Source organism: Homo sapiens, chromosome 9, assembly GCF_000001405.40.
Source record: "Homo sapiens chromosome 9, GRCh38.p14 Primary Assembly".
Lineage (NCBI taxonomy): Eukaryota > Metazoa > Chordata > Mammalia > Primates > Hominidae > Homo > Homo sapiens.
In genome coordinates this window covers 135,987,618-136,012,486 of record NC_000009.12, presented here as the reverse complement: position 1 = coordinate 136,012,486, position 24,869 = coordinate 135,987,618, and the positions used below count along the sequence as shown (strand labels likewise).

The 24,869-nt window shown below is 60.2% G+C and overlaps 1 protein-coding gene across 1 annotated transcript in view, besides 6 other annotated features; it reads left to right on the top strand.

Annotated features, from left to right (window-relative positions):
• Positions 1-5,950, top strand: part of NACC2 (NACC family member 2) — an 88,753-nt gene extending 82,803 nt beyond the window's left edge. The window contains exon 6 of the mRNA NM_144653.5: positions 463-5,950. Coding sequence (NP_653254.1) covers positions 463-971 — 509 coding nt within the window. The 3' untranslated portion in view covers positions 972-5,950. The remainder of the gene's footprint in view (positions 1-462) is intronic.
• Positions 18,851-19,528: an enhancer, noted in NCBI's record as "H3K27ac-H3K4me1 hESC enhancer chr9:138884805-138885482 (GRCh37/hg19 assembly coordinates)". NCBI's record gives its function as "activates a minimal SCP1, AML or CMV promoter by ChIP-STARR-seq in naive H9 embryonic stem cells {active_cell/tissue: H9 hESC(naive)}" and the evidence as "EXISTENCE:reporter gene assay evidence [ECO:0000049][PMID:30033119]".
• Positions 19,509-19,568: an enhancer, noted in NCBI's record as "active region_29295". NCBI's record gives its function as "activates an Ori minimal core promoter by ATAC-STARR-seq in GM12878 lymphoblastoid cells {active_cell/tissue: GM12878}" and the evidence as "EXISTENCE:reporter gene assay evidence [ECO:0000049][PMID:35858748]".
• Positions 19,509-20,206: a biological region, named in NCBI's record as "H3K27ac-H3K4me1 hESC enhancer GRCh37_chr9:138884127-138884804".
• Positions 19,529-20,206: an enhancer, noted in NCBI's record as "H3K27ac-H3K4me1 hESC enhancer chr9:138884127-138884804 (GRCh37/hg19 assembly coordinates)". NCBI's record gives its function as "activates a minimal SCP1, AML or CMV promoter by ChIP-STARR-seq in primed H9 embryonic stem cells {active_cell/tissue: H9 hESC(primed)}" and the evidence as "EXISTENCE:reporter gene assay evidence [ECO:0000049][PMID:30033119]".
• Positions 20,884-21,561: an enhancer, noted in NCBI's record as "H3K27ac-H3K4me1 hESC enhancer chr9:138882772-138883449 (GRCh37/hg19 assembly coordinates)". NCBI's record gives its function as "activates a minimal SCP1, AML or CMV promoter by ChIP-STARR-seq in primed H9 embryonic stem cells {active_cell/tissue: H9 hESC(primed)}" and the evidence as "EXISTENCE:reporter gene assay evidence [ECO:0000049][PMID:30033119]".
• Positions 22,239-22,917: an enhancer, noted in NCBI's record as "H3K27ac-H3K4me1 hESC enhancer chr9:138881416-138882094 (GRCh37/hg19 assembly coordinates)". NCBI's record gives its function as "activates a minimal SCP1, AML or CMV promoter by ChIP-STARR-seq in primed H9 embryonic stem cells {active_cell/tissue: H9 hESC(primed)}" and the evidence as "EXISTENCE:reporter gene assay evidence [ECO:0000049][PMID:30033119]".

The following is a 24,869-nucleotide window of genomic DNA, read 5'->3' as shown; positions in this document are numbered from 1 at the left end:
GACCCGGCCTTGGCCTGGGCTCCTGCCAGAGAAAGGAGGCGAGTGTTGCTGAAGTGATGGCTTCTGTCACTCCCCTCCTCCAGGCTGGGACTGGGACGGGGAGGGGTGTGTTATTCCCGAAAGGGGGACCCTCTGACCAGTTCCCGTTAGCCGTTGGGGCTACGGAAGCCCGGAGAGATTAAAAACAGGCCTGAGCCTCACAGCTGGCGGACGGCCAAGGCTGCTGGGCCTGACCAGGCCAGAGACTGTTCCAGAGGAATGGGGTGGGGAGGCCTCCCAGGCCGAGCAGTGAGAAACGTGACCTCTGGTCTTCTGGCTGAGGCCAGGAGAGCCCCAGGTGGTCACATGGGCCCCAGGAGCGGCCGGGGAGGCTCATCCAGGGCATCATGGTTCTGTGGCCTTGGGGAGGGGCGGGCCTCCCGGCAGGCAGGTGGCTGAGCTCACGCCGCCCCGTCCTCACAGTGTACTGTCAGAACTTCGCCCCCAGCTTCAAGGAGAGCGAGATGAACGTGATCGCCGCGGACATGTGCACCAACGCCCGCCGCGTTCGCAAGCGCTGGCTGCCCAAGATCAAGTCCATGCTGCCGGAGGGCGTGGAGATGTACCGCACGGTCATGGGCTCCGCCGCCGCCAGCGTGCCCCTCGACCCCGAGTTCCCGCCTGCCGCGGCACAGGTGTTCGAGCAACGCATCTACGCCGAGCGGCGGGGCGACGCCGCCACCATCGTGGCTCTGAGAACTGACGCCGTGAATGTTGACCTGAGTGCCGCCGCCAACCCCGCCTTCGACGCCGGCGAGGAGGTGGACGGGGCTGGCTCGGTCATCCAGGAGGTGGCCGCCCCCGAGCCGCTGCCCGCCGATGGCCAGAGCCCCCCACAGCCCTTTGAGCAGGGCGGGGGCGGCCCCAGCAGGCCCCAGACGCCGGCGGCCGCGGCCCGGAGGCCGGAGGGCACCTATGCAGGGACCTTGTAAGCGGAGCTGGGTGGCTGCGCGAGGGACCGAGTACTAGAGCTGCTTGCATGCGTTACTAATACAAACAAATGTGATCAAGCCACTTACCTACTGAACTGCTACTGTTGCCTGAGAAAAATGTGATTTTTATTCTGCTTGTATTTAAAATTGATGAAGGAAACAAATGCATTCATTATACTGTAAACAATTAGGCCACTGGCAGCCTCCTGCGAGGAAGTTCCCAGGGCTCCCTTTTGATATTCACAAGGTCAGCCTCCAAGTGTAGCTTCCCTCCCCCTTCTTGGGGAGGGTGGGAGGCCGCCAGGCCCCTGGTGCCCAGCCCTGCCCCTTCCTCCCTGCCCTTCCTGCTCCTCCTGCCCGGAAGACGAAGCAGGGGCCGGCGGTGGTCTGTGGCGAGGGGGCTGGGCTGTGCGTCACTGACCCTTCCTTCCTTCCCCATGGAACCTCTCTGGGGCGACGGGGCAGGGCTCAGGCTCCAGGGCCTAACTCCTCGTTTTTCCTTCTTTCGGAGACTCGGGGCCAGGCCCACCGGGCCTTCCACCTGTGTGGGGTGTGTGCACGAGTGTGTGTGTGTGCGTGTGTGTGCAGGGGTGTGGTGAGGGGGCAGTGATGGCTGTGGCCCACCCCTCGGGGTGGAGAAAAGGGTACTTTACTCTGCCCCCACACCCTGTCCTTGTTCTGCCCGATCCGTCTCGGCTCTGCAGCCCCTCGGTCCCCTGACCCCCAGGGCACCGCTGACCCCGCCTGGCCTCCCACTGTCCCGCCCGGGCCCACTGTGGGACGTGCACAGCTGATGTAGCACACGCTGCCCTCTGCCGCCTCAGCCACTTTGGGATTATGCTTGTCTTGTTTTTTTTAGGTTTTGTTGTAATTTAGATCTATTTCATATATGGTTTGGAAACTTTCAGACTCAATAGAACAAAAACTTTGGGTGGGATGGGTGTCCCTGTCCCCAGCCCACCATGGCTTGGGGTGGGTCATCTGTGGCCGTTAGGGTGCGTCCCCCTGCTCCCCCGCCCAGGGCCAGGGACCACTCGTCTCCCACTGGGGGAAAAAGGGGGTCCCGGGTGGGCGACTAGTACGTGTGAAGCTGAGCTCAGGGCCGGACCTGGGGAGCGGGGGACTCCGCTCGGGCAGGAGGCAGCGGCCAGGGCTGGGCCAGGGCGAGAGTCGGTCCTCCCGGTGCTGGGCTCCCCGTCTGCCTTGAGGGGTGTGCATGGATGGAGGGTGCCTGAGGCTGCAGGCAGGGGATGACCGGGACAGGCCTGGGCTGGGGCAGTTGGAGGTATGGGCACTGGTAGGGGACAGAGGGTTAGGGATCATGTTGGGGGGCCAGGGACAGTGGAGGAAGGGCCCATGGAAGATGGGGCTGTTTGGTTTGAGGCTGGAGTGCTTCCTTTGAAATTTAATTACTGTTTTTTAAGTGGTAGGGCTCACAGACTGTGTGAAGTCCTGTGTGAAGTGCTGGTGTGGCCACCTACCCAGGTGTCCCTCCCTTTTGTTTTGGAGGCCTGTGTCCTTGTCCAGGGGCAGCCCTCCTTCCCAGGTGTGGCCAGAAGAACCCCCCATCCCAAGACTTGAAATGTCTGTTGCTCACCTCTGTCCCTCCAGAACTCGGCTTCCCCATCTTCACTTGCAAAACAAGTGCAGCCCTGCGCCCATCAGCACCCCCTCCGGTGTGCACACAGGCCAGTGAGCGGTGGCCGACCAGCGCACCCCACTCCCCCAACCTCCACAACCCATCAAGCGGAGGCCGCCTCCGCTAGGGGAGGACCATGTGCTGCACCCTGGCCTGGGGACCTACAGGGTGTGGGTTAGACGCATTCCCACTGGGCGGCTCCTTTCTGCCCCGAAGCCCACCCCTGTGGCGAGGCCCTAGGAGACCTCCCGTGGGGCCGCCTCTACAGACAGCACTCAGCCTCCTGGGCTGCCTCCAGCCAGGCCCAGCACATGCCTGCCCTCCAGAAAAATACGTTGCTTTCCAGAAGGAGGTGGGGGACCATGGGCAGGCACTGTGGACGCTAACCTCGGCCCCTCCACCCATTCCTCAGGGCCCACGTCCAGGGGGACCAAGACCTGCATTCCTAGGGCTGCAGGTGGCTCAGTGGTGCAGAGGCATCCAGACCTTCTGCTGAACTAAGAACCACCCAGCCTAGAGGGAGCCTTTCTCTGCCTCTTCCTCCCCTGTCTTGGGCACAGGTGGGGTTGGAGCCCCCATGGGGCCCGCTGGGAACCTGGACCAAGCCTTCCTCGGAGATGGGAGGAAGCCGCGGGGTGGAGCAGGGGCAGGTAGGTGAGGTTGAGCTGCACTTGAGTTCCCTCTGGAGTTTCCTTCATCTGCCCCACACCCAAATTTGCACTTTAATTTGACCATCCCTGGGGGCCTGGCTGCTGACAGAAGGGCTCTCTCTGCCCTCCACTCCAAAGTGGGTGCCCCCCCACCCTTGGCCAGGACAGGGAGGGAGCCGCTGGCTGCTGCCGGAGGTGGTGGCTGCACAGAGGACGCCTGACTGCTGTTCAGGCCCGCACAATGTCCCGTGCCCCTTCCTCACTCGTTTGTAATCGCCGTCTGTTTTGTTCTGGGTAAGGAAGGCAAGAGCTATAGATAAAACTTAAATAATAATAATTTAATGTGAATGGGTTCTGAGCTCTCCCTGCGCCCCGGGCGGGCCAGGCCGAGCATTTTGCACTAATGTGTCCCACGGTGGGCGTGAGTCGGGAGTGTCTGTGGACGTGCGTGGCTGCTGAGCGGACCTGCTGTGTGCTCCCTCCACGTCCTGAATGTACCGTGGGGCGGGGGCGGCGGCCCGGGCTCAGAGGGGCCTTCCAGAGTGCCTTAGCATCCTTTGATCATTTTTCCCAAGGAAACCAATTAAGAAAGCCGGACCCTTCCCTCCTTTGTTTACAAGATGACTAATTCTAGAATCCGGGGTTGTCCTGTCCTGTGAGTGTGACCCTGACTCATCCAGACCCTGTAGAGAGAGACGAGCCACTCAGTATTTATGAGATGTCTGCACCTTTATCCCTAAGCCTGACTATTAGCAATACGCATATCCTATATAGAATCTATTACAGAGCTACGTTATCTCCACACCTTTTGAGGAGGACAGAAGGGACTGGACCGTGTTGGAGCTGCCGCCTGGCAGGTGGTGGGCCTGGGATCTAGCCGCCTCTCCTGCCCTGCCTTCCTCTTCCCCAAGGGGATGGGCCCAGGAGGCAGCTGGGTTGCATGGAGAGGTCCAGGAGGGACCGGAGGTGTGACAGATACTGTGAGCCCGGCGGGCCGCGCCTGGCTGGGTGCCTCGGTACTTGAATTCTGTCTTGTTTTCCGCATTGTGTCTGTCCACCCGAGTTCTCTGTCGTCACTTAACTTTGCATTGGATTTGGTTGTTGTACTTTGCCCCTGAATGTGGACAAAGCTGTGGGCAAGAGGTCAGCAGGACCCGCCTGGGGGTGCCGGCGTTGGTGACTGCGGGTCGGGGCTCCTAGAACATAGGAGCCGGCTGCCTGGCCTCCTTTCTCCTCCAGGAAGAGTCATTCTTTGGCATTTGTGTTTAGAGCCAGGAGGAAGGCGGAAGGTAGGGAGGGAGGGCTGGTCCCCCTCTGAGGGGGCTCTAGTGCCTGACCCTGACCTGTCCTCATTCGACAGCTGAAACTGTTAAGCGCTGGCCCAGTCCCCCCACCCCACCCAGCCGTGTACTGCCTGGGCTCCCCTCAAAGGGAAATTTTTATGGAAACATCTTGGCAGCAAGTGGAAAAAGATCTATGGCCCATGAACCAACTGAAAACTCCAAGAACCCTCTGTCTGCCTCTGCCAGCAGCGAGTCCTAAGCGCAGAATCCAGAGCTCGTAGCTGTCCTCAGCTGTAACTACTGTTTCAGAATGTTGCTGCTGCATACTTTTGTCATGTCAGCCAGCCAGCTCCGTGGGTGAGAGTGTGCGTGTGCGCGTGTCTGTGTGTGTGTGCGTGTCTGTGTGTGCACGTCTGTGCGTCTGTGTGTGCGCGTCTGTGCATGTGTGTGTCTGTGCGTGTGTGCGTCTGTGTGTGTGCGTCTGTGTGCGCGTGTGTGTGCGCGTCTGTGTGTATGTGTGCACGCGCGTCTGTGTGCACGTGCGTGTCTCTGCACGCGTGTCTGTGTATGTGTGCACGCGTGTGTCTGTGTGTGTGCACGCGCGTGCACGTCACCACCGGAGCATTTAGGGTTTGGTACAAGATGGTTCTAAAATGGCAAAGGTTTTTCGTGTTTGTTTGTTTTGTTTCTTTGGAAAAAGAAAAGGAAAGGAAAATCATGCAGAATCGCAAGCATTCAGACTGGACGACCGGCTCGTATTCCGATCAGTCGCTTCCATTGTTAGCATCGTACACGATTGTGATTTTTATGTCAAAAGAAGCCAAAACTTGCAATACTATTTTTAGCAGACAAAAAAAAGAACTAAGTATAAAATGTATAAATATTTTTGACTTGAAGATTTGGATGGCACTGGGTGCAAGTAGAGCATCCATCCTTCGGATGGAATGTTTGGAAAAAAGAGACTTTTAAAAAGGAGACGGTTGTTTTAAAGAGTCTGTTTAGGGGTTAAAGTACTGTAACTCACGACTGTTAAAAAATAAATTTTCCTGTGCTGTAAAGGAAGGTTTCACAGTACCACTGAGTTAGATTTCAGCCACAGATGCTTAGCTTTTTTTTTTTGTCTTTTTTTTAAGGAGGAAGCCTTTGTTTTGTTTTCCTGAGCCCTCACTCTGTTTTTGTGCTGTTACTCGGTAGAGTCAAGACTGTTACTTTTTAGCCATGGCTGACATTGTATCAATAACTAAAACTGAAACATTCAAAAGCGAACAGGGAAACCGAGGGCTTCAAGCGTGCTCAGAGCCGTTTCAGACAGTGGAAATCCATGACAAACAAAAGGATGTGATCATTAATTGTAAAGCGCTTTGTAAAATTCACATTTACAAAATAATAAAGTCAGTTCAAACCTAAGTTTCCTGGACTTGGCTTGGCCCTGTGGGGTTTGGGGGAGACACAGAGAAGCCAAGCTTGGGCTATTGAAGGCAGGGGTGGCCAATGGTCCCCCAGGGGCACCCTCAGGACCCCGTCCCTGTTAGCGGCGTCCCCAGGCCAGCTGTCCACACAACAGGGCAGGGATCTGGCTGTGGGGTTCAAGGTCACCTGACCCATCTCTTGCTCTCCCCAGTGTTTTACAAGGGAAGGGGCAGGTGGGTAGGATGTCTGCAGGTACTAGTGTGCCTGCTAGAGGGGGGCCCTGTCCGGACCCGCAGGCAACCTGCCAGGGTCGGGGGGTCTCCTTTTCGGGACCTTGGTTTTATTGTCTGAGAAGTGGGGCAGCCCCTTCATCTGCCTCACCTGCCACCCAAAAGGTGCGTGGCTCCTTCTTTCCCTCCCCCTCCCCCACCCCCTCCCGGGCCATGTCTGCCCCCAGGTGAACAGAGAGACAAGTGCAGGTGGGCAGAGCTGGGCCCGCGGGGTTGGCCTTCTCTCCAGCTCTGGGGCTGGTGTCCTGGGGTTCAGGCTGCGTGGCCAGCCCCATTCCCTTTTGCTCCTCTGGCGTATCCACAAGGACAGGCTGAGTGCTTTGCAATCATGTGTCCCCCAGACCTGTCCTGCCGGGCCCTTGATGGGTGCCTCCTACGTCTGGAAGCACTTTCCTCTGGATACCTTCCTGGCAGGCTCCTCACTTCCTGCGGTCCTGTGAGGGTCTCGTCCAGGGGACCACCCCTGATCACCTTACGGGCACCCCTCCCTGGCCTCTCTTCCCCTTTCACAGGGTTCATGGCACCCGCCGTACTGGAGGGAGGTGGTGGATTTATTGGGCAGGGCTTCATGGCCATGTTCCCAGAAGAGGGTCCTCTGGAGCCAGCATAGGGCAGCCCCTGATTGTCTCAAATGGATGGATGTGGTTTCCATATGGGCCCCCTGGATGGAAGGGCCCATGTGGCAAGGGGATGGCGCTTGAGGTCACCCTGAGCCATTGCCTCCTACAGGAGCCACATCACCACACTGTCCCCACCAGGAATGCCCAAGGGGTCTGTTCCCCAGTGGGGGCCAGGGAACACGGAGTGTTCCAGTCCCCATCCCACCACCAAGCCCAGCCCCAGGCCTCCAGGGTAAGTGTATCCGACTCAACTTCCTGGAGAAGGAGCAGAGCCCCCAGCTCTCAGGGCCAGCACCTGCCTGGCTGGTGGGGAGCTTGGTGAGGACAGACAGCTTGGATGCACACCTGCAAGACCCCAAATGCCGCACCCAGGTGGGTCCCAGGCCCCCTCAGCAGCTAGGACTGCTGAGGTCTGGGTGGCCCAGTTAGGGGAGGGAGGGTCGTGGAGAATGCCCCACCTTGGCCCAGGAATCCTGCCACTCTGGGAGGGGGCCTACCCAGCCCAGTCCTCCACCAAGTCGGCCCTGGTTTTCCAAGGAGGAGGGGGAGCCAGGCACCTGCTGCCCATCCCATCCCTTGTCCCCCATTCCCCGTCCCCCATCCTTCCCACGGCCGCCTCGCCCTTGCAGCCCCGACAGAAACCGGCTGAGGCATCAGGAGCCTTGCATGGGCCTCCCACCCCCTTTGTCAGTTTGGACAGGAGGAGGGCGCTGTGTCAGCAGGACCCACGGCTTTGTCCCCGGCCCTTTGTGATTCTGCACAAAAGGGTCAGGAGCCCTGGGTGGGGGAGGGGCCTGGGAGGGATCTGAGCCCAGAGTCTGGGGAGGGAAGGGTGCCTGCGGGGAGCCCGAGGGGCTGGGTTGGGGCCCTGTGACCACCCTCGCTCAGCCGCTTTGGGTCACGTGTGCCTTCTGGCACCTGTGGGCTGGACAGACCCCACTCTGATGAGGAGATGAAGGCTCCTCGGGCTGCCAGTAAGAGCACCCCTGCCTTCACCCACCTCCCGGCCTGATTCTGCTGTTACAGAGGGGCTGGGGGACGTCCAGCCCTTCCCTGTGCCTGTCCCACCAGGCGGCCCGTGAGGGGTAGGCTGGCCAGACATTCTGTTTGGTGGTGGACACAGGCCTCTTGGGGAGGAACCATGGTGGGGGTGGGGGGACTTTCACTGGTAAGAGGAAGGAGGGCGGGGGCAGCAGGTTAGGGGCAGAGGGTCCCTATCCACACAGCCGGAGCAGCTGACCCTGCCGTGGGGCACTGTGGCCCTCAGGCCAGGACTCTCTGGTCTCAAAGACAGGAAGGTGTCTGGCGGTGGACATCTCAGGCTGGGAGAAGATCCCTGGGGCAGGAAGGGGGTGGGGCGGGTGGGGGGAGGATGGGGCCTCATCTGGCCGCCCAGAGGAACCCAGCTCCCATGACCTCTTGATCACTGGGGGCCCCACATAGATCTGAGCACACAGGGGTGGGGGGCAGGAGGTAGATTGAGTGGTGGGGTGTCCACAGGATTCCACGGGCTGTAACAGAGATGTGGGGTGGAGAGGCTTGGAGAGGACTAGATCCCCGCCCTCAGGGTGAGGGCCCGAGGCCACACCCTCCCCTTGGGGCTCCCTGGGGAACTGTGGCCACCCTGGAGGGCTAGAGCTGGGAGCAGGTAGAGGAGGCCTAGGGTGGGGTTTGGAGGAATTCCAGGTAGCCCCACTGGAAATGCAGCAGAAGTGAGCTGAGGGCTGGGCTTCCAGAGGGAGTGGGGAGCTGCTGTGGAGGGGCCGCCTGGCTGCCTGGGACCCCACCAGGCTAAGGGAGGTGACTCTGGGTGGGCCAAGGGTGCTGAGCAGTCCTGGGTGGGAAGGTTCCCGATGACTGGAAGTCCCCACCCAGCCTCTCCAGGGCCCCTCTCCCAGGCAGGGCTCAGCTGCCTGGGGCAGGCTTGGGGCCCAGAGAGAGAGGAGTTTGGGTGGGGTGCACGGACCTCTCAGTGGGCAAACAGCCAGGCCGAGCCAGCAAAGGAACTGGGTCTCTGCCAAACACCATTCCCACCCGCGCTCGAGACCCAGGCTGGGCAGAGCCGGCATCCTGAGGTGGGGGCAGGGGCCTCGAGATGGGGCCAGGGCTGGCTGAGGTGTTTGGCTGGCTCCCGGCTCCAGCAGGTAAGATGAGGCCACCTGGGGAGGTCACTATGTGTCCCTCTGGCCCCCGTAGTCGGGCAGGTTCTGGAATGGGGCTCCCTGAGCACCAGCGCCGGATGCCTACCCTGGCACCAGGAGGCAGCTCTCCCTGGCACGGGAGCTTCAGGGTGCCCCCCCCCCCCTTCCAAGCCAAGCCCTTGAGGAGCCAGCTCCCCGGTGCCCACCCCTCACTCCCCTCAGCCCCTCTTCCTGGAGTCCTCCTGAGGGCAAAACTAGGCTCCCTCTCAAGGAAGCAGCTGCGGCCCCGCTGTGGGCTGCACTCGGGAGAGAAGGAGGGATGGTCACATGGGACAGTCAGGAGGCAGAGGGACAGAGGGACAGCCTCCGAGGCCCTGGACACGTGTCTTCATCCCCCGCTCCTCCCTCCCCTCCAGCTGGGAGGCTCCAGCAGCCCAGGAATGTCCGCAGCTCTGGCTGGCCACTGGACCTGGTTCCCCAGCTGTCCCATGTCCCTCATCAGTCGGCCAGGACCCTTCCTGGAGACCAGGCACTTCCCAGTGACGAAGGGGCTCTGGGACAGACAAGACCCGGTTCAAGGTTGGGCTTGGGGCCTGTGAGCTGGTGAGAGGGGACGTGTCTTTCCAGGTGCCTCAGCCCAGGGGTGGCCCTGGAACTGGGATCCCAGCCCAGGGTTGAGGTCTCCTTCCTACCACACACACACATTGAGGTGCCACCTGTCCCTTCACGTCACCCCACCCGCACCACGAGGGGCTTCCTCGGCTCTCCTCCAAGGAGGGATGGATTGGGCTGTTTGGCCCTGTTCCTCAGGGAACAGGGTGACATGGAGGTGGCTCTTTGGGAAGGTTGACAGTAGCAGTGGCAAGAGCCTGCACAGTGGCCAGTTGAAGCTCAGGACACCTGTGAGGGAGTCAGCACCAAAGCTGGGTTGGGCACTGGGCTCAGCCTGGCCATCCCAAAGGCAAGGAATCCTCCCTGGGGCGCCCTCAGACCAGCCTGGCTGCAGCCAGGCAGGTGGATCGGGGTCCCTGGGGAGAAGCACTCGGGTGGCCCCAAAGACCCTGCAGGATACCACGGTCACGGCAGCGCCCCTCCCCACTGCCCAGAGGTGCAGCCACCCAGAGCCCATGAACGGATGACAACCCACAGAAAAGGTCCACCCACCAAGTGCAACACAATGGGCCCTAAAACAGGGATGCACCCCAAGGGCACGAGGCTCGGTGAGAGGAGCCAGGCTGACAACTCCCTCCTGCAAGCGTCCACTTCGTGAGGTGCCCAGTCACCAAAATCACAGAGACGGTACGTAGGATGGAGGGGCCAGGCTGTGGGTGCAGGATCCAGTGTTTCGTGGGGGCGGAGCTTCAGTTGGGGAAGATGAAGCCTTCTGCAGACGGAGGGTGATGGCTGCAGGACAAGGGGACTGTGCTCAGTGCCACTGAGTCGTGCACTGAAAAATGGCCAAAATGGTGGGTTTAGAACATACGTATATGGCCGAGTGCGGTGACTCACGCCTGTAATCCCAGCACTTTGGGAGGCCGAGGCGGGCGAATCACCTGAGGTCAGTAGTTCGAGACCATCCTGGCTAACACGGTGAAACTCCATCTCTACTAAAAATACAAAAATTAGCTGGGCGTGGTGGTGCGCACCTGCAATCCCAGCTACTCGGGAGGCTGAGGCAGGAGAATCACTTGAACCCAGGAGGCGGAGCTTGCAGTGAGCCGAGATCATGCCACTGCACTCCAGCCTGGGCGACAGAGCGAGACTCCGTCTCAAAAACAAAACAAAACAAAAACAAAAAAACATATACAGTACGTGTATATATTTAAAGACAGGGTGGGGAAGAGAAACTGATCCCCCGGGGAAAGGCTGCTGAGAGGACCAGGCGGGGCAGGGCGTGCGGCTCGTGGCCTGTGACAAGCCTCAGGCCCCGTGCAGGGATGCCAGGAGCAGCTGCAGAGGGAGGCCTTTCCCGGCACGTTCTGTGTTTCCCAGCAGTGGCTTTGGGTTCACTCAGGGCCTGCAGGAGAGGAGAGGGTTAAGCAGAGGCGCCCTCAGCCCAGCCAACCTGACTGCAACCCTGAGGCAGTTCCCGCACCCAGGAGGGGCCAGTGTCCGTGAACGTGAACGGGCCAAGCCGGCCAACCTTAGGGCTGCTTTAGAAGCTGAAGCCACGTTCTTGCTGACAGCGGGCGAGGTGACCCGGCCAGGGCTGGGGGCTGGGGGTGAGTCTGAGAGAGATGGAGGCTCCTTGCTCTAAACAAGTAGCTCAGGGAGGACCCAAGCCCCTTTCTTTCTGGAGGCCTCTGCCATGAGTCTTTCCCTGGTAGCCTGGGTCGGACGAGCTTGGAGGAAGGGTTCACCCCAGGCCGCCCCCACCAGGGCAGGGAGCCCCCCACCCCCTGAAACCCATCACTTCCCCAGCAGGGGCCTGCACCTGTCTCCCATGCCAGCCCTGCCTTGTTGATGTCCTCAGAATCCTGCCCCTTCCCCCAGGGGCCTCACTGCTGCCCACCCCACTCCTTTCCCTCCCCACCGCTGAAGCTTTGACCAAGCAGCACCCCTTTTCTGTGGGAGCAAAAACCACCATGCAGCAAAAACCACCCCCAAACAACACTGGAACACCCCTCTGATGCCACCTTTTCATGAGATCGCCTTGTTCTGTGCCTCAGTTTCCCCACATGTTCAGCCAAGGGCATGAACTCCATCAGGCTCCTCACATTTACTGTGCCTCCAACCCCGCCCCCCCCCCCGCCCCGGGCATCTTGTTAGTGCACAGATCTGGCTCTGGGGGTCTGGCATGGGCCTGGACTCTGCATTCAACATCCTGGCCACACAGAGTGAGGCCATAAGGGCATCCCTCCTGCCCAGAGAGGACGGCCCACACTCTCTGGTGGAGAGACCTGGCTTTTTCCTCATACAGCACAGACTCGTGTGCAGAGACTACACGGACCCAGGTGCGGACAGCCTCACACAACAATTGCACACTCACTGCATCCAGCTTTGTGGTCTGCAGGCCTCGTCCAGATCGGGGTGCTCTGCGCATCTTTGCTCAGCTTCCCTTTGCTGGGCTCATGGGAACGCCGGGGTGGAGGTGTCCTCACGGCCCGCCCGAGAGGCATCCGCGGTCCTCGCCGGAGATGTGCCTGTATGCCGCCCCCTTACCAACACCGGGGCTTACGAATGGTTTCCCTTTGTACCAGATGGATGAGTGTTAAAAAAAATCTTCCTCTGACCTGGATGGTAGCAAATCTGTCAGCGGTCACACTCCCACTTCCGCAGCCATCCTGTACCTGTCCCGGCCACATGCACGCTTCTCCTTGCTCACCACGGAGCCCTGTACCGGGGCCTGGAGGCCTTCCCAGCTCACTGGGCCTCCGTGGTTGTCACATTGCTGTGGGGTGGGCATTGGCCCAAGAGAAGTTCTGAGTTTCTCTATTTATTTATTTATTTATTTATTTATTTATTTATTTATTTATTTTTGAGACAGAGTCTCACTCTGTTGCCCAGGCTGGAGTGCAGTGGCTTGATCTTGGCTCACTGCAAGCTCTGCCTCCTGGGTTCACGCCATTCTCCTGCCTCAGCCTCCCAAGTAGCTGGGACTACAGGCGCCCGCCACCACACCCGGCGAATTTTTTGTATTTTTAGTAGAGACGGGGTTTCACTGTGTTAGCCAGGATGGTCTCGATCTCCTGACTTCGTGATCTGCCTGCCTCGGCCTCCCAAAGTGCTGGGATTACAGGCGTGAGCCACCGTGCCCGGCCCAAAGTTCGGTGTTTTAATATCCACTCATCTTGTACCCTCCTCCGAGATGCCAGATATACTTGCTTGCGTTTTTCTCTTTGATGCTGGCGCCTGAGATCTGGGTCTGCTGATAATGGGGTTCTGGAAGCCTTGGCTGCTCAGATTGCTGAGCAGGGGAGGACAAAGCACCCTGGGGCCCTTCCTCTAGGGAACACCCCTCCCTGGGGCATGGCTGGGCCGCCCCTGCCTGGCTGCTGACAGTGTGGGCCTCACTGCCTCCCAGCCTTTGCCTTGCTTATGGTATTTGCACTAAAACCATTTCCCGGCCGGTGGCTCATGCCTGTAATCCCAGCACTTTGGGAGGCCGAGGCGGGCGAATCACTTGAGGTCAGGAGTTTGAGACCAGCCATGGTGAAACCCCATCTCTACCAAAGATACAAAATTAGCCGGGCATGGTTAGGCAACCGGGAGGAGGAGGCTATAGTAAGCCAAGATCACACCACTGCACTCCAGCCTTTGGCCACAGAGTAAGACTCCATCAAAAAATAAAAATAAAAATAAAACCATTTTCCATCCACCCAGAGCTGCCCACAGTGGAGGGGTGGGAAGAGAGAGGGTCCCACTGCCTGGGGGAGGGGCTGCTCTAGGCCCATCTCAGTGTCACCAGAGGCCAAATCACCAACAGCCGCTGCAGAGGCCTTGTGGGGCACCAGCAGTCTGCTCACCCCAGAACAGCCAGGCATGACCACAGAGTTGGAGCTTGGTGACTGGATTCTGCATCAGAAGGGACACGGGGCCCATGTCACAGGTCCCAGGGCTGGGGCAGGTCCCTGGGCAGCACCTGTCTGTTCTGACTTCAGTTTCTGGAATCAGAGTCTTGAGGCTGTGAGAACTGGCAGCCACAGCCGAGGGCCAGCAGGGGCATCCCACGCTTTTTGTGAGCGAGGCCTGGGGAGCCCTGCTCCCGGCTGGCATCTCACCTGGCGTGTGAGCGCACCTCCAGTGCCAACCTAGCCCAGGTGCTGGCCAGGGGGCAGGAAGCTGATGACAGTGTCTCTCCTCCATCGTAACAGTGGCTGTGGCAGAAAGAAGCCCCCAGGCCCAAGCACAGAGGGGCTGGCAGGATTCTGGAGCCGGCCTGGAGGCGCCTGTGCCTCCCTGGAGCGGCAGGGCTGGCAGCCTTGGTTCCTGACAGCGCCAGGGGAACCCACAGAGGCTCCTCCTGCTCCTCCTGGTTCTGTGTGTGCCCACCCCACCGGGCTCCAGCTCCTTGCACCCAGGGGAGGAGGAATGGGGGTCACCTCCCGTCGGAGTCCCTGGCTTGGGAGCCACTGTGGTCAGTCAGGAAGCTTTGAGGGACTGCTGCGTTGGCTTTAAAACTCAGGCTCCCTCTGATGGGACAGAGAAGGAGACACCTGGAGACCCCCATTACTCCGCCCACAGGTGTGGTCACCCAGGAAGGCCTGGAGAGTCCCAGGAGGTCCCCCACCTGCACAAGGCACCCGCCAAGTTGCTCCGGCTTCTGGGAACACCACGTGAGGGTGCAGGTGGTGGGGCCGGGCCAGGAGCTGGGCGGCAGGGGGCCTGGGGCCTTGGGCAGGCCACCCCTCTCCTCACCCACCTGAAGTAGGCTGAGTATGAATGTCCCTGCCAGCCCTGATGGGCTTCGGGTCTGTCAGGCGCCAGGAACCACAGGGCCGTGGGCATTCACAGCCTCAGGACCACCCCCCGCCTTCTTGTGCTCCCAAGGCAGTGGTCTAAGCAGACCTAGAAATAGCCTAGACGGAGTCGACTCTGGGGTCAGCCTATGTGGAAACTCCAGGGGCCTTCAGTCCCAGGCTGGAGTGTGCAGGAGGAAGAGCCAGCCAGCTCCATGCTGGGCCACAGCCGAGAGGAGCAGCTGGGACTACAGGAACAGAAGGCAACGGCCGGGCCAGCCCCAGCAGAGTAGGGACAGGTGAGGCTCTGGTGGGACTCGATGGGAAATAAATCCCATCACTCTGACCCACTCTGAATACACACCAAGCCCTCCCATCAGATGCAGATGAGCCCAGGGTGTGTGCCCCTCCTGAGTGGGAATGCATCAGTGAGTGGCCAGGCCTAAGCCCTCAGGCCATTTAGCTGTCACTGGGTGGCAGAGAGGACCGCGGTGCGCTCTGCGTTGTGCAGTTTGATGGTGCGTTTGTACCGAGCTCTGCCTGCTAAAACAGCGTTCCCGGAATGGAGAGGACGGCGGGACTCATTGGAATGGAAATCAATTTGATTAGAGAGCAGTCAATTACTGCTAGGACCGCGGCTGTGATCCGGGCGGAGAACCAGCTCCGTAAAAATATGTACAACTTCCTGGGGAAATGCTGCAGAGAGGAGCCTGAGGGGGCGGGGAGGCTGCACGGCTGTGCCCGGGGAGGTGCTGGCCCGGGCCTCGGGCTGGGAGGTGTGGGGTTCCCTGGGGTGCTCCCCATTAGGCCTTGGGGTGTAGCTCAGCTCCTCTCGGCCTCAGTGTTCACCTCTGTAAAATGGGATAATGCCGGTGCCCACCAGCAAGGTATGGGGGCTCAAAGTGGCCATTTTTACAAAGCACACGGCACTGCCTGTGTGTAGGACACCCCGGGAAACGCCTGGTCAGGCGGGCTTTGCTCAGGACAGGCGGAAGCTCAGCTGCCCGACACACACGCTAGGCCCCCTGAAGGGTTTCGCTGAGGGATTCTGTGCCAAAAACTGAGAAAAAGCTGGATCCAAACACCACAATTACCCAAGATGGGCGGGTCGAGTGGAGAGGACCGTGAAGGGCAAGGGGCCTGGGCTTACATCCTGGCCACCCGGAGCCTCAGTCTCCTTCTCTGTATGGGACAATGACCACCTCCCCAGTTGGCAAGGGAGGACCGACCACAGCAGAATCCCATTCTGTTCCTCCTGCGCTGGAAGCCAGAACATGGAGGGCCTGAGCCCACGGCCTGAGCCCCACACAGAGGCTGGTGCTGTTCTGTGCCGCTTCCTCCCTCATGGGCTCTGGTCAGGGACGCAGGCCTCTCTCCGGCCCGACCCTTGTCATGCAACAGAAGCAAATGGTGCCCGTGGAAATGGTGCCCGTGGAAACGGTGCCCGTGGTGTTGCTGTGTGGAGGGTGAGCCAGCAGCACAGAATGGGTCCCGGACCCACCAGGCCACTCGGCCTTCTGTTACAATCACAAGGAGCCCCTGGGCAAAGGCAGTGCCTGGCACGTGATGGCGGGGAGGGAGAAAGGATGGGGACTGGAGATTCGCCCCTTTCTCCCCTTCAGCTGAGTGCCCATGTGCAGTAGCAACCTGCACACATGTGCACAGCGGCCTAGCAGTCGGGAGCCAGGTGAGCCTGAGACCAGGTCCCAGCTCCATGTCCTGGCCGGGGGACTTTCAGAGTCACTTAACTTGTCTAAGATTTTGTAAAACAGGGTAACGATTGCCATCTTACCAATGTGTCACGGAAACTGGAAACCAGGCGTCCATTCAGTATTTACTGAGAAGCTACTGTGAGCCCCGAGCTCCGTGGCTGGTATGTTGCAGATGCCCCACACAGGACCTCCACTTTTCATGGTTTCCACGGGCCGAGCCAAGAACGAAGCGTCCACCTGGAGCATCAGGACAGACCAGCTGCTGCAACGATGAGACAGGCGTGACCGCCCAGCATGGGCTTGCGACGGCTCAGCAGAGCCTCAGGGCCAGAAGTGCCCTCAGCCGTTCCATCGGAGTCCCTTTGGTTCTGTTCAGTTCCACAGCTCACCTGGCGTCAGCATGTACAGATGGTGGAACAGGCCTGGGGCTTCCTGCAAAGGCCAGGCTCGTGGGTCACCATGGCGACAGAGCCGTGGTGCGCACCCTCGGCGAAGCCGACCCCATCCTCTCCCTCTGGCTTCCTCGTGCTGCCGAGAGATGATGATTCCCATTAGCAGACGGGAACATCGTGGCTTCCAGAGGCTCACAATCTTATGGTCAGAGAGGAGGTCAAATGGCGCAGTCACACCCAGCAGAAACGGGTCTTAAAAAGTTAAACACAGGACGCGGTGGCTCACACCTGTAATCCCAGCACTTTGGGAGGCCGGGGCGGGCGGATCACAAGGTCAGGGTGAAACCCTGTCTCTACTAAAAATACAAAAAATTAGCCGGGCGTGGTGGCGGGCGCCTGTAGTCCCACCTACTCGGGAGGCTGAGGGAGGAGAATGGCGTGAACCCGGGAGGCGGAGCTTGCGGTGAGCGGAGATGGTGCTGCTGAACTCCAGCGTGGGCGACAGAGTGAGACTCCGTCTCAAAAAAAAAAAAAAAAAAAAAAAAGTTAAACACAGAATCACCACGTGACCCGGCCGCTCCCTCCTGGCACAACGTGTGCACGAATGTTCACAGCCACGAGCGCGGATGACCCTTGGAAAGACTCTGCTAGGAGTGCAGCACACCAACATGGAACACGTATATATACGTAACAAACCTGCACGTTGTGCCCATGTACGCTAGAACTTCAAGTATAATAATAATAAAAAAGAAAAGGAAAGAAAAAAAAAGAAAAAGAAAAAAGACTCTGCTAAGTGAGGGAAGGCGCGTGTACCCAACTCCATCGATATGAAAGGCCCCGAGCAGGCAACTCTGTGGAGACAGACGGTGGAGGGGGGTGGCCAGGACCTGGGGGTGGCGGCCAGGGAGGTGTGGGGGTGGCTGCTGAATGGGGTCGGGGTTTCCTTTGTGGGAGAAGGTTCTGGAACTAGATAATGGTGTTAGTTGCACAATAGTGTTATGAATGTACTTAATGCCACTGAACTGTACACTTTGCACTGGTTAAAATGGTCACGTGTTTTGTGTATTTTACCACAATTTTTAAAAAGCTAAAAAAAACAACCACCTCACAGCTAGTGAGTGGTGGAGCTGAGATGGGAATCTGAATCAGGTCGTGCAGCTGTGCCCTCCCGCCACTGTCCTGTGTGAGGACCTGGTGTTGTGGGGGGCTCAGCCGGGCCGGGTGCCCTCACAGGGCTGGCCGTGAGTGGGGTCTGGGGGGCTCAGCTGGGCTTGCACGTGAGCAGGTGGGTGGTGGCTCCTTGCACAGTTGCGTCCCCAGCGGCCGGGGCACAGGGATGAGAGGTGGAGACGTGGCTCTGCCCCCAATGCATTCGCCTCTGTGGTGAAGACGCTCTGGGGGCAACACTGGCCCCTCCAAGGGCTCTAACTTCATCCTGCAGAGGATGGCATGGTGAAGGGTTGGCCTGGACTGGGAGTCCCACCCATGGGACGTTATTGGTCACAGGGAGGAGCTGGGGTGACGGGGGCTGGCCCAAGGCCAGGGGCTCCCTGGTGGAGGAGGGGCTGTCCCTGGGTACTCTGGCCCCAGGCAGGGCCGCCTGCCCTCCCTTCCAAGCCAGGGGTGGTTTTGGCCAGGGCTGGCGGCTCAGAGTCCAGGGTCCAGGGTGGGTGGCCTCTGCAGAGACAGCCATAGGTACCAGTGAGTTCACAGGAAAGGAACCCCAGGGGGTCACCTAGCGGCCCGGCTCCCGTCACATCAGGGAGGAGGCAGAGGGCAGTGGTCAGGGCAGCAGGGGAAGTCTTCGTGCTGGAGATGGCCAGGAGCAGGCTCTGCAGGGTGTCCAGGACACAAGAGGGAAGGGCGGGCAGGCAGCGGCATGGCCCGAACCCAGGCGCGATGCTCAGAGCCCAGGCCTACCAGAGCCCCACCGGGAAGGGAGGAGGGCCAGGCAGCCACAGAGCTCCTGCAGCCTTGAAGGCTGGGTCAGGAGCAGACACCTCTCCCGCCTGGCTCTGCAGTGCCTGGGTCACTGGTGCCCTCGGAGAGCCGGCCAGGCCAGGCAGACCCGCAGCAGCAGTAGTGGCGCGCGCCGCTCCCGGGACCGCGCTTTTCCGCTGCCGCACTGAGTTATGTGCTGGCTGCTTTTGTATTTAGAGAGTGGAGCAGATGGTGGGTGCAGTAACACTTTAAATTAAGGATTCCAAATACACATTAAATTTAGATTTAATAAGACAGTTATTGTATGGAAATTCAGGCCCGCCGATTATTTTGAATATTGGAGTCTGATCACCTACAGCTCCGATGGCTGCGATTTCCACTGAAGGCGTGTGGCAGCTTGTCTACCCAAAGCCCCCGAGGCCCACACCCTCAAGCTCCAGAGCCTGCCCCTCCGTTCCTTCCTCAGGGCCCAGGAGGCCAGTGAGGGGCAGGACATCACAGTGGCTCCTGCGGGGTGAGCCCCCCACGGCCGGGAGCTGTCCTCGGCGGCCTGGCAGATGCCCTGGAATCCACCCGTTTTGTCCATTTTGCAGGAAAGGAAACCAAGGCTCAGAGGGGAGAAGCCATGTGGCCCAGGCCACTCTTACAGGACCGGGCTGGGAGAGGGGACACCCATCTGCAGGGCAGAGGCTGGCCCGGGAGGGGAGCCTGCTGCCGCTGGACATCCTGGGCCTCAAGGACAACCTTGAGGCCTAAATCCCCAGCCTGTCCTGGCTGGTCGGGGCTTCTTCCGTCTCTCCCAGGAGAAAAGCCTCGCTGAGCGAGGGCAGTGGGGAAAGGGGGCGGGGGCACTTCCCGGCCACAGCCCCTCCCCCAGCAGCAGCCTCCCTGTGCTCCTGGTGGGTGGAGCAGCCTCGGGAAGGGGGATTCTGGGAGCTGGCCAGCCCCCACTCCCCGCAGGCCAGCCCATCTCAGCCCCCACAGCCCCAACTTCCCCTCAAACCAGGGGCGGGAAGCTGCTAAGTGCTCAGACGATTTCTTATGGCCACGATAAATCTGGTCTTTTTGTCCCTCCAGAAAAAGAAGGGGGGCAGTCAAGTCTCCACACCGGACGAAGCCTGAGCCCTCGCAACTGCCGGCAGAGCCACGCCCGCCCGGCCACAGTTCCTGTAACCGGCAGCTGCACTGTTTGTAATCACTGCTTGGCAGACATTTATCATCCGCTCCGGGGAGCAGAGAGGCCTCAGTGCAGGCGGGTGGCCTGGCCGAGGGCTGGGCTGCCCCGGGAGCCGCATGGCCTCTCTGTGCCTAGCCTAAGGCCCTGCAGGTGCCCAGCAAGGCAGGAGCACCCCTAGCCTGGGCAGGAGGCTGGGATGCTGGAAGTGTCAGGGGCCTTCAGAGCGTCTAGCCAGGGGCCACCTGCCACCTGGGAGCCGGGCCAACCAAGGTAAAGCCCTGCCTTCCTCCAGGAAGGGGGCCCTGGCGTGGGGCCAGGCTCAGCGCTTTCCTCTGCCCCTCTTTGTCACCTCCAAGAAAGGACCTTGGGATGAAAGAGCCGGGAGATCCCAGAGGGAGGTGGCTGCCCTAGGTGGGAACATCAGGACCCCCAGGGCAGGGGTGAGCCGTGGCAGGGGTCTTCCCTGTGGCCAGTTGAGCTCCAAGGGTCTGTCCCTCACCCTCTGGGTAGGGTGGCCAGAGGGAATACATAAGAATACTTAACACCCAGTGAAATTCTCATTTCATACTAACAACAAATCAATCTCTAGTGTATGACCCATCCAATTTGGGGGCATATTTCTATTTTAAAAATTCATTGTTTATTTAAAATAGAAACTTAGGTGGGTGTTCTGTTCTTTTCTGGTGAGCTTCCCTTACCCCATGGGGTCTCCCCTTGCTCAAGACCCCCAGCTCTGTTCCCCGCCAGACCCCGCTCCATCCTGTCTGGTCCTCTGCCGGGTCTCTGCCATGTGGTCTTGGCCACCCCGACCCCTGTGCCGAGAACACCTTCCCTTTTGTCGTGGCCGCCCCAGCAGGGAGCCTCTTCGGACAGGGCGAGTGGTGCCTCTTGTTCACGTGACAGCGCACTCACAACTCCAGCAACGTCCTTGTTCACAGCCCTCGTCCTGGTTTTCCAAGAACCCGTGTTTGTATTTTATTTTTCCAGACCGGTCTTACTCTGTCGCCAGGCTGGAGTGCAGTGGCTTGTGCAGTGCAGCTCACTGCAATCTCCATCTCCGGGACTCAAGCGATTCTCCCACCTCAGCCTCCTAAGTAGCTGAGACCACAAGTGTGCACCACCACACCTGGCCAATTTTTTTTTTTTAATTTTTGGTAGAGATGGGGGGTCTCACTATGTTTCCCGGGCTGGTCTCGAACACCTGAGCTCAAGCAATCTGCCCACCTCAGCCTCCCAAAGCGCTGGGATTACAGGCGTGAGCCACCATGGCCTGAACTCGTATGTTTAGATCGGTGTCCCCCACTTACTTTGCACACAGGGGCTCAGGACTGTGTCTGCCCTGCCGTCCCCCTGGGTTGGGCATCAGGCTGCCCCTGCTCCCCTGCCCATCACAGCCCAAGGGCTGGATGCCACTGGCTCTCAGAGCCTCCATTTCCTGGTTCCTAAAGGGGGAGGGCAGTGCTGGCCTGAAAACTTGGCTTCTGGTGACAGTGGCAGGAGCCACCTCTGCCTGCTTTTCTCAGGGAACGGTGGGCAGCCCATGGAATCACGGGAGAGACAGGAGAAGGAGGCCCAGAACGCCCAGAACAGAGGGACCTGCATGGCCAGACCCTGCCAGACTCACGGGCGCAGGCCACCAGGGAGGTTGGGCCCAAGCCCTGGGAGGTGCCAGTGGCCCTGCCTCTACCCCAGGTAGATCCCAGGGGTGAGGTCTGTGCCCTGCCATGGGGAGCCTGGGGAAGCTGCTGGGGCCTCTGCCTCCAGCTAGAGGCACACGGCAGAGAGGGCCCCACATATAGGGGCACCCTGAAAATGGCAGGATGAGGGAGGAGGGTAGGGGTCTGCACACGGCATCTCTGGGTTCTTGGGGATATCAAACAGGATGGGGCTGTGATGTGACTGTCTGACTTCAAGACAGGGGAGAGGAGAGGAGAGATGGGGAGAGAGGGGAAGGAAAGGGCGGGAAGTGAGGGGTTAAAGAGGGGTGTGGAGAGGGGAGGGAAAGGGCGGGAGGGGAGGGGAGAGGGGAGGGAAAGGGCGGGAGGGGAGGGGTTAAAGGGGGGCGTGGAGAGGGGAGGGAAAGGGCAGGAGGGGAGGGGTTAAAGGGGGGCGTGGAGAGGGGAGGGCTGGGGAGGGCAGGTCGGGGAGCTGCTGCACCTGCAGAGGCCAGAGGCCGCAAGGCTGGCTCTCTGCTCCCTGTGTGACCCTCTGAGGTGCCCGGGGGGCGCCGTCTGCTCCACGAAGCAGCTCCATGCATGCTTTGTGCATGTGCTTCCTGAATTAAAAAACAGTAACAGTGACAAATGGCAACGCCACCACAGCAAGCCTGCCCCGTCTCTGCCTGCAGATGCTCCCACAGCTCCTGGGGAAGGAATTTACCCAAAACGGACAGGGCGGGTTCTGCCCACCTCAGCCCTGCAGCGCACCTGGGATAACAGACAGAGAAGGGGCCTCCCATCACAGGGGTCCGAGGCCCCCTCCCCACTGAGCCCTCCCTCAAATTCTCCCCCGGTGCCCATCATGACTGCCCCAGAGACCGGAATCCAGGAGCCTGCAGGGTGTGGGGGTGCTGGCTTGGATCCAGGCCCCAGGCCAGGCCCACAGCGGGGGGCGGGGGGGCAGGCCCGGTGGGAGGCCCCCAGAAGGGCCCAACAGCCCCAGCAGCCCCTCTGCTGCCTCTCGCTCCTCCAAGACCCGCCCGCGGGCACTGCTCACTTCTGCGTAGTCTAACCGGGGAGGTTTCAGCCGGGAAGCTGTCGCCGGCAGTCTGCAAACATCCCCTTCCCGCCGCCGCCTGCCAAGTGCCACCAGCACCGACAGCTTGCTGCGCAGTCGGTCGCACAAGCTGCCTGGCCTGGCACCGGGCTGCTCGCCGGCCTCCCACAGGAGTCAGCCGGGAGTCTGTCCCCGGATGCGCTCAGCCTTGCAGCCTCCCCCAGGGCTCCAGGCCCTGTTGTGTCCCCATTCTGTCCAGGGCTGTGTCCTCCATGCCACCCCCCACAGCTGCCTCTGCAGTCCCTGAGTCCCCGTAGACCCGGAGGAAATCCGGAACCCCCGTGGCTAGAGATTAAAGAACTTTAGGAGATGGCAAATTTCGGAAGAGTTGAGGAGCCCTAGAAAGGAACATGAGTGTCACCGAGCCTTGGGGACCGGCCACCCTATCACCTTTCAAGGTCAGCCCTGCACTGGCGCCCAAGGTTTCCACCTTGAGCTTCTATACGGGAGCTGATGCTGCGTGTCTGGTCGTGGCTCTCCAGGGACCTGGGATCTTATCTGCCTTTGGGATTCCCTCCAAGGGTCCCTGCAGCTCCTCTGAGGTGCCCTCCTTGCCCAGCAGACACTGAGCATCGACACCTACTCTGGCTAGGAGAGTGGTCGTAGGCCTAGGCCTCAGCCAGGCAGAGAGTAAAGCCCCCCGCCACTGCTTTGGGAAGGGTTCGGCCACCCCCGCGTGGGCCCACTCTGCCAGAATTGGCCCCCAGTGGATGTGAGGAGCTGGTGCAGTCACACCCTCATCAGCCCTGGAGCACGCTGGCAGAGCAGCCTCTTGGGGGGGCCAGAGTCCTGGCCCCACCCACACCCCCATCAACCTGTGGAGGTAGACTGCAGCCCAGACCACGCCAGGCTCTGCAGAGCCATCTCCCTGGGCCTTCTGCTGTGGGGAGGGGGAGGTCAGGGCCACCCAGGAGTCCCCTAGCCTCAGGGCCCTGTGTCCCCCAAGTCCAGTGCCCAGCCGAGTCTCTGAGCTCCGGCCAGCCCTGAGGCTCCCAGGCTCCCGTGAGCCCCTGGGATAGCACTCCAGGCTCAGCCTTCAGGACTGGGTTGCACAATTTAAAATTAATAATCGCGCTGTCTCGTGGCCTCATAATTAAGTGTCTGTTCATCCCCATTATTGTCAGAGAGTGATTTGTTGTTCTCTGGGCACTGAAAATCAACCTGCTGAAGGGAGGGGCCTGCGAGCCTTCGGGACAGAGCTGCCCGGGGAACACGGTGCACCCACCTCCCCCAGGGGCCCAGAGGAAGGGGCCCAGCTCCACGCCTCAGGCTGGGGACCCTCGGCCTCCGCTTACTTACCAAACACTCTGGGGGCTTGGAGGTGGCTCTGGGACTCTCCCATTGCCTTGGGGGCTGCCAGGCAGAGTGCGAGGAGGGGCAGCTGCTTGGTCCGATCCCGGGGCTTGTTTTCCAGCAAGCCTGGCCCGGCTGCCTCAGGCTGAGACTGTGAGCAGATGCGGAATGCTCCCGGGTGCTGTGTTCACTCTTGTACCCCAACGCGCCTGTGCACACAGACACACACACGTGCACATATGCACACACGGGAACATATTAAGACTAAAGGCGTCTCCAGGCGTCTCCTCTTAGGAGTCCCACTTGCGGCTCAGCTTCTCTATCAGGAGGGGATGATGATCCCATGCCTTCCCCTACTTCTTACGCATGAGGTTCTGCTGAACGATGGTAGAGCCAGCAGCCTGCCAGTCTGTCTCCAGGAGCCCCCAGCCCAAGCGGGCCCCATCAGGCGGGGCACTATGAGGGTGGGGCCACCTCGCTGGTCCCTGCATCACCTCTTGACTGTCTGGGCCCTACCTGCTTCCAGCGAGCAGTGCCCTGGAGTCGCCTCCTGTGACACCTGGCTTGTGAGTCGGGTCCCCGGGGAGCAGCCCCTGAGGCTCTGAGGGACTCTGGGAATCCCAAAGCTGGCCACACACTCCCAACCCAGGGAGACTCCCCACCCAGGGAGGGGCGTGCTCATCATTTGAGAAAAATCCAGCAGATGCTCAGGTCCTGGAGGATGTGCAACCCCAGCCCTCCTGCACCAACGCCCCGCGCTCCGCCCGGCCCCAGAGGCCAGAGGATGGGCGGGGGCCAAGGACGGGGGCTGCTCATGGCAGAGATCACCTAGGGGTCCTGCCTCAGGATCCTGTGGGCTCCCAGGGGGACCCATACTGGAGGAGGGGATCCACTCTGGCTTGTGGTCCCCAACAGCAGAAAGAGGGGCACCCCCTTCTGCAACGCCACACAGTTTCCCTTGGGACCAAGGATCCTCTGACAACTGGCCTGTGACCACACGGGCCCGAGCTCACGGGGGCCAGTGTCAGAACCCGGCGTGGAGTCTGGAAAACCCTTACATCCCAGAGTGACCCAAGGTCATCCTGCAACCACGCTTGCCACCTGCAGACATAAGACTGGGCAGGGATAGGACTGTTTAATTTTCCTTTGGGCATATTTATTTATTTATTTATTTAT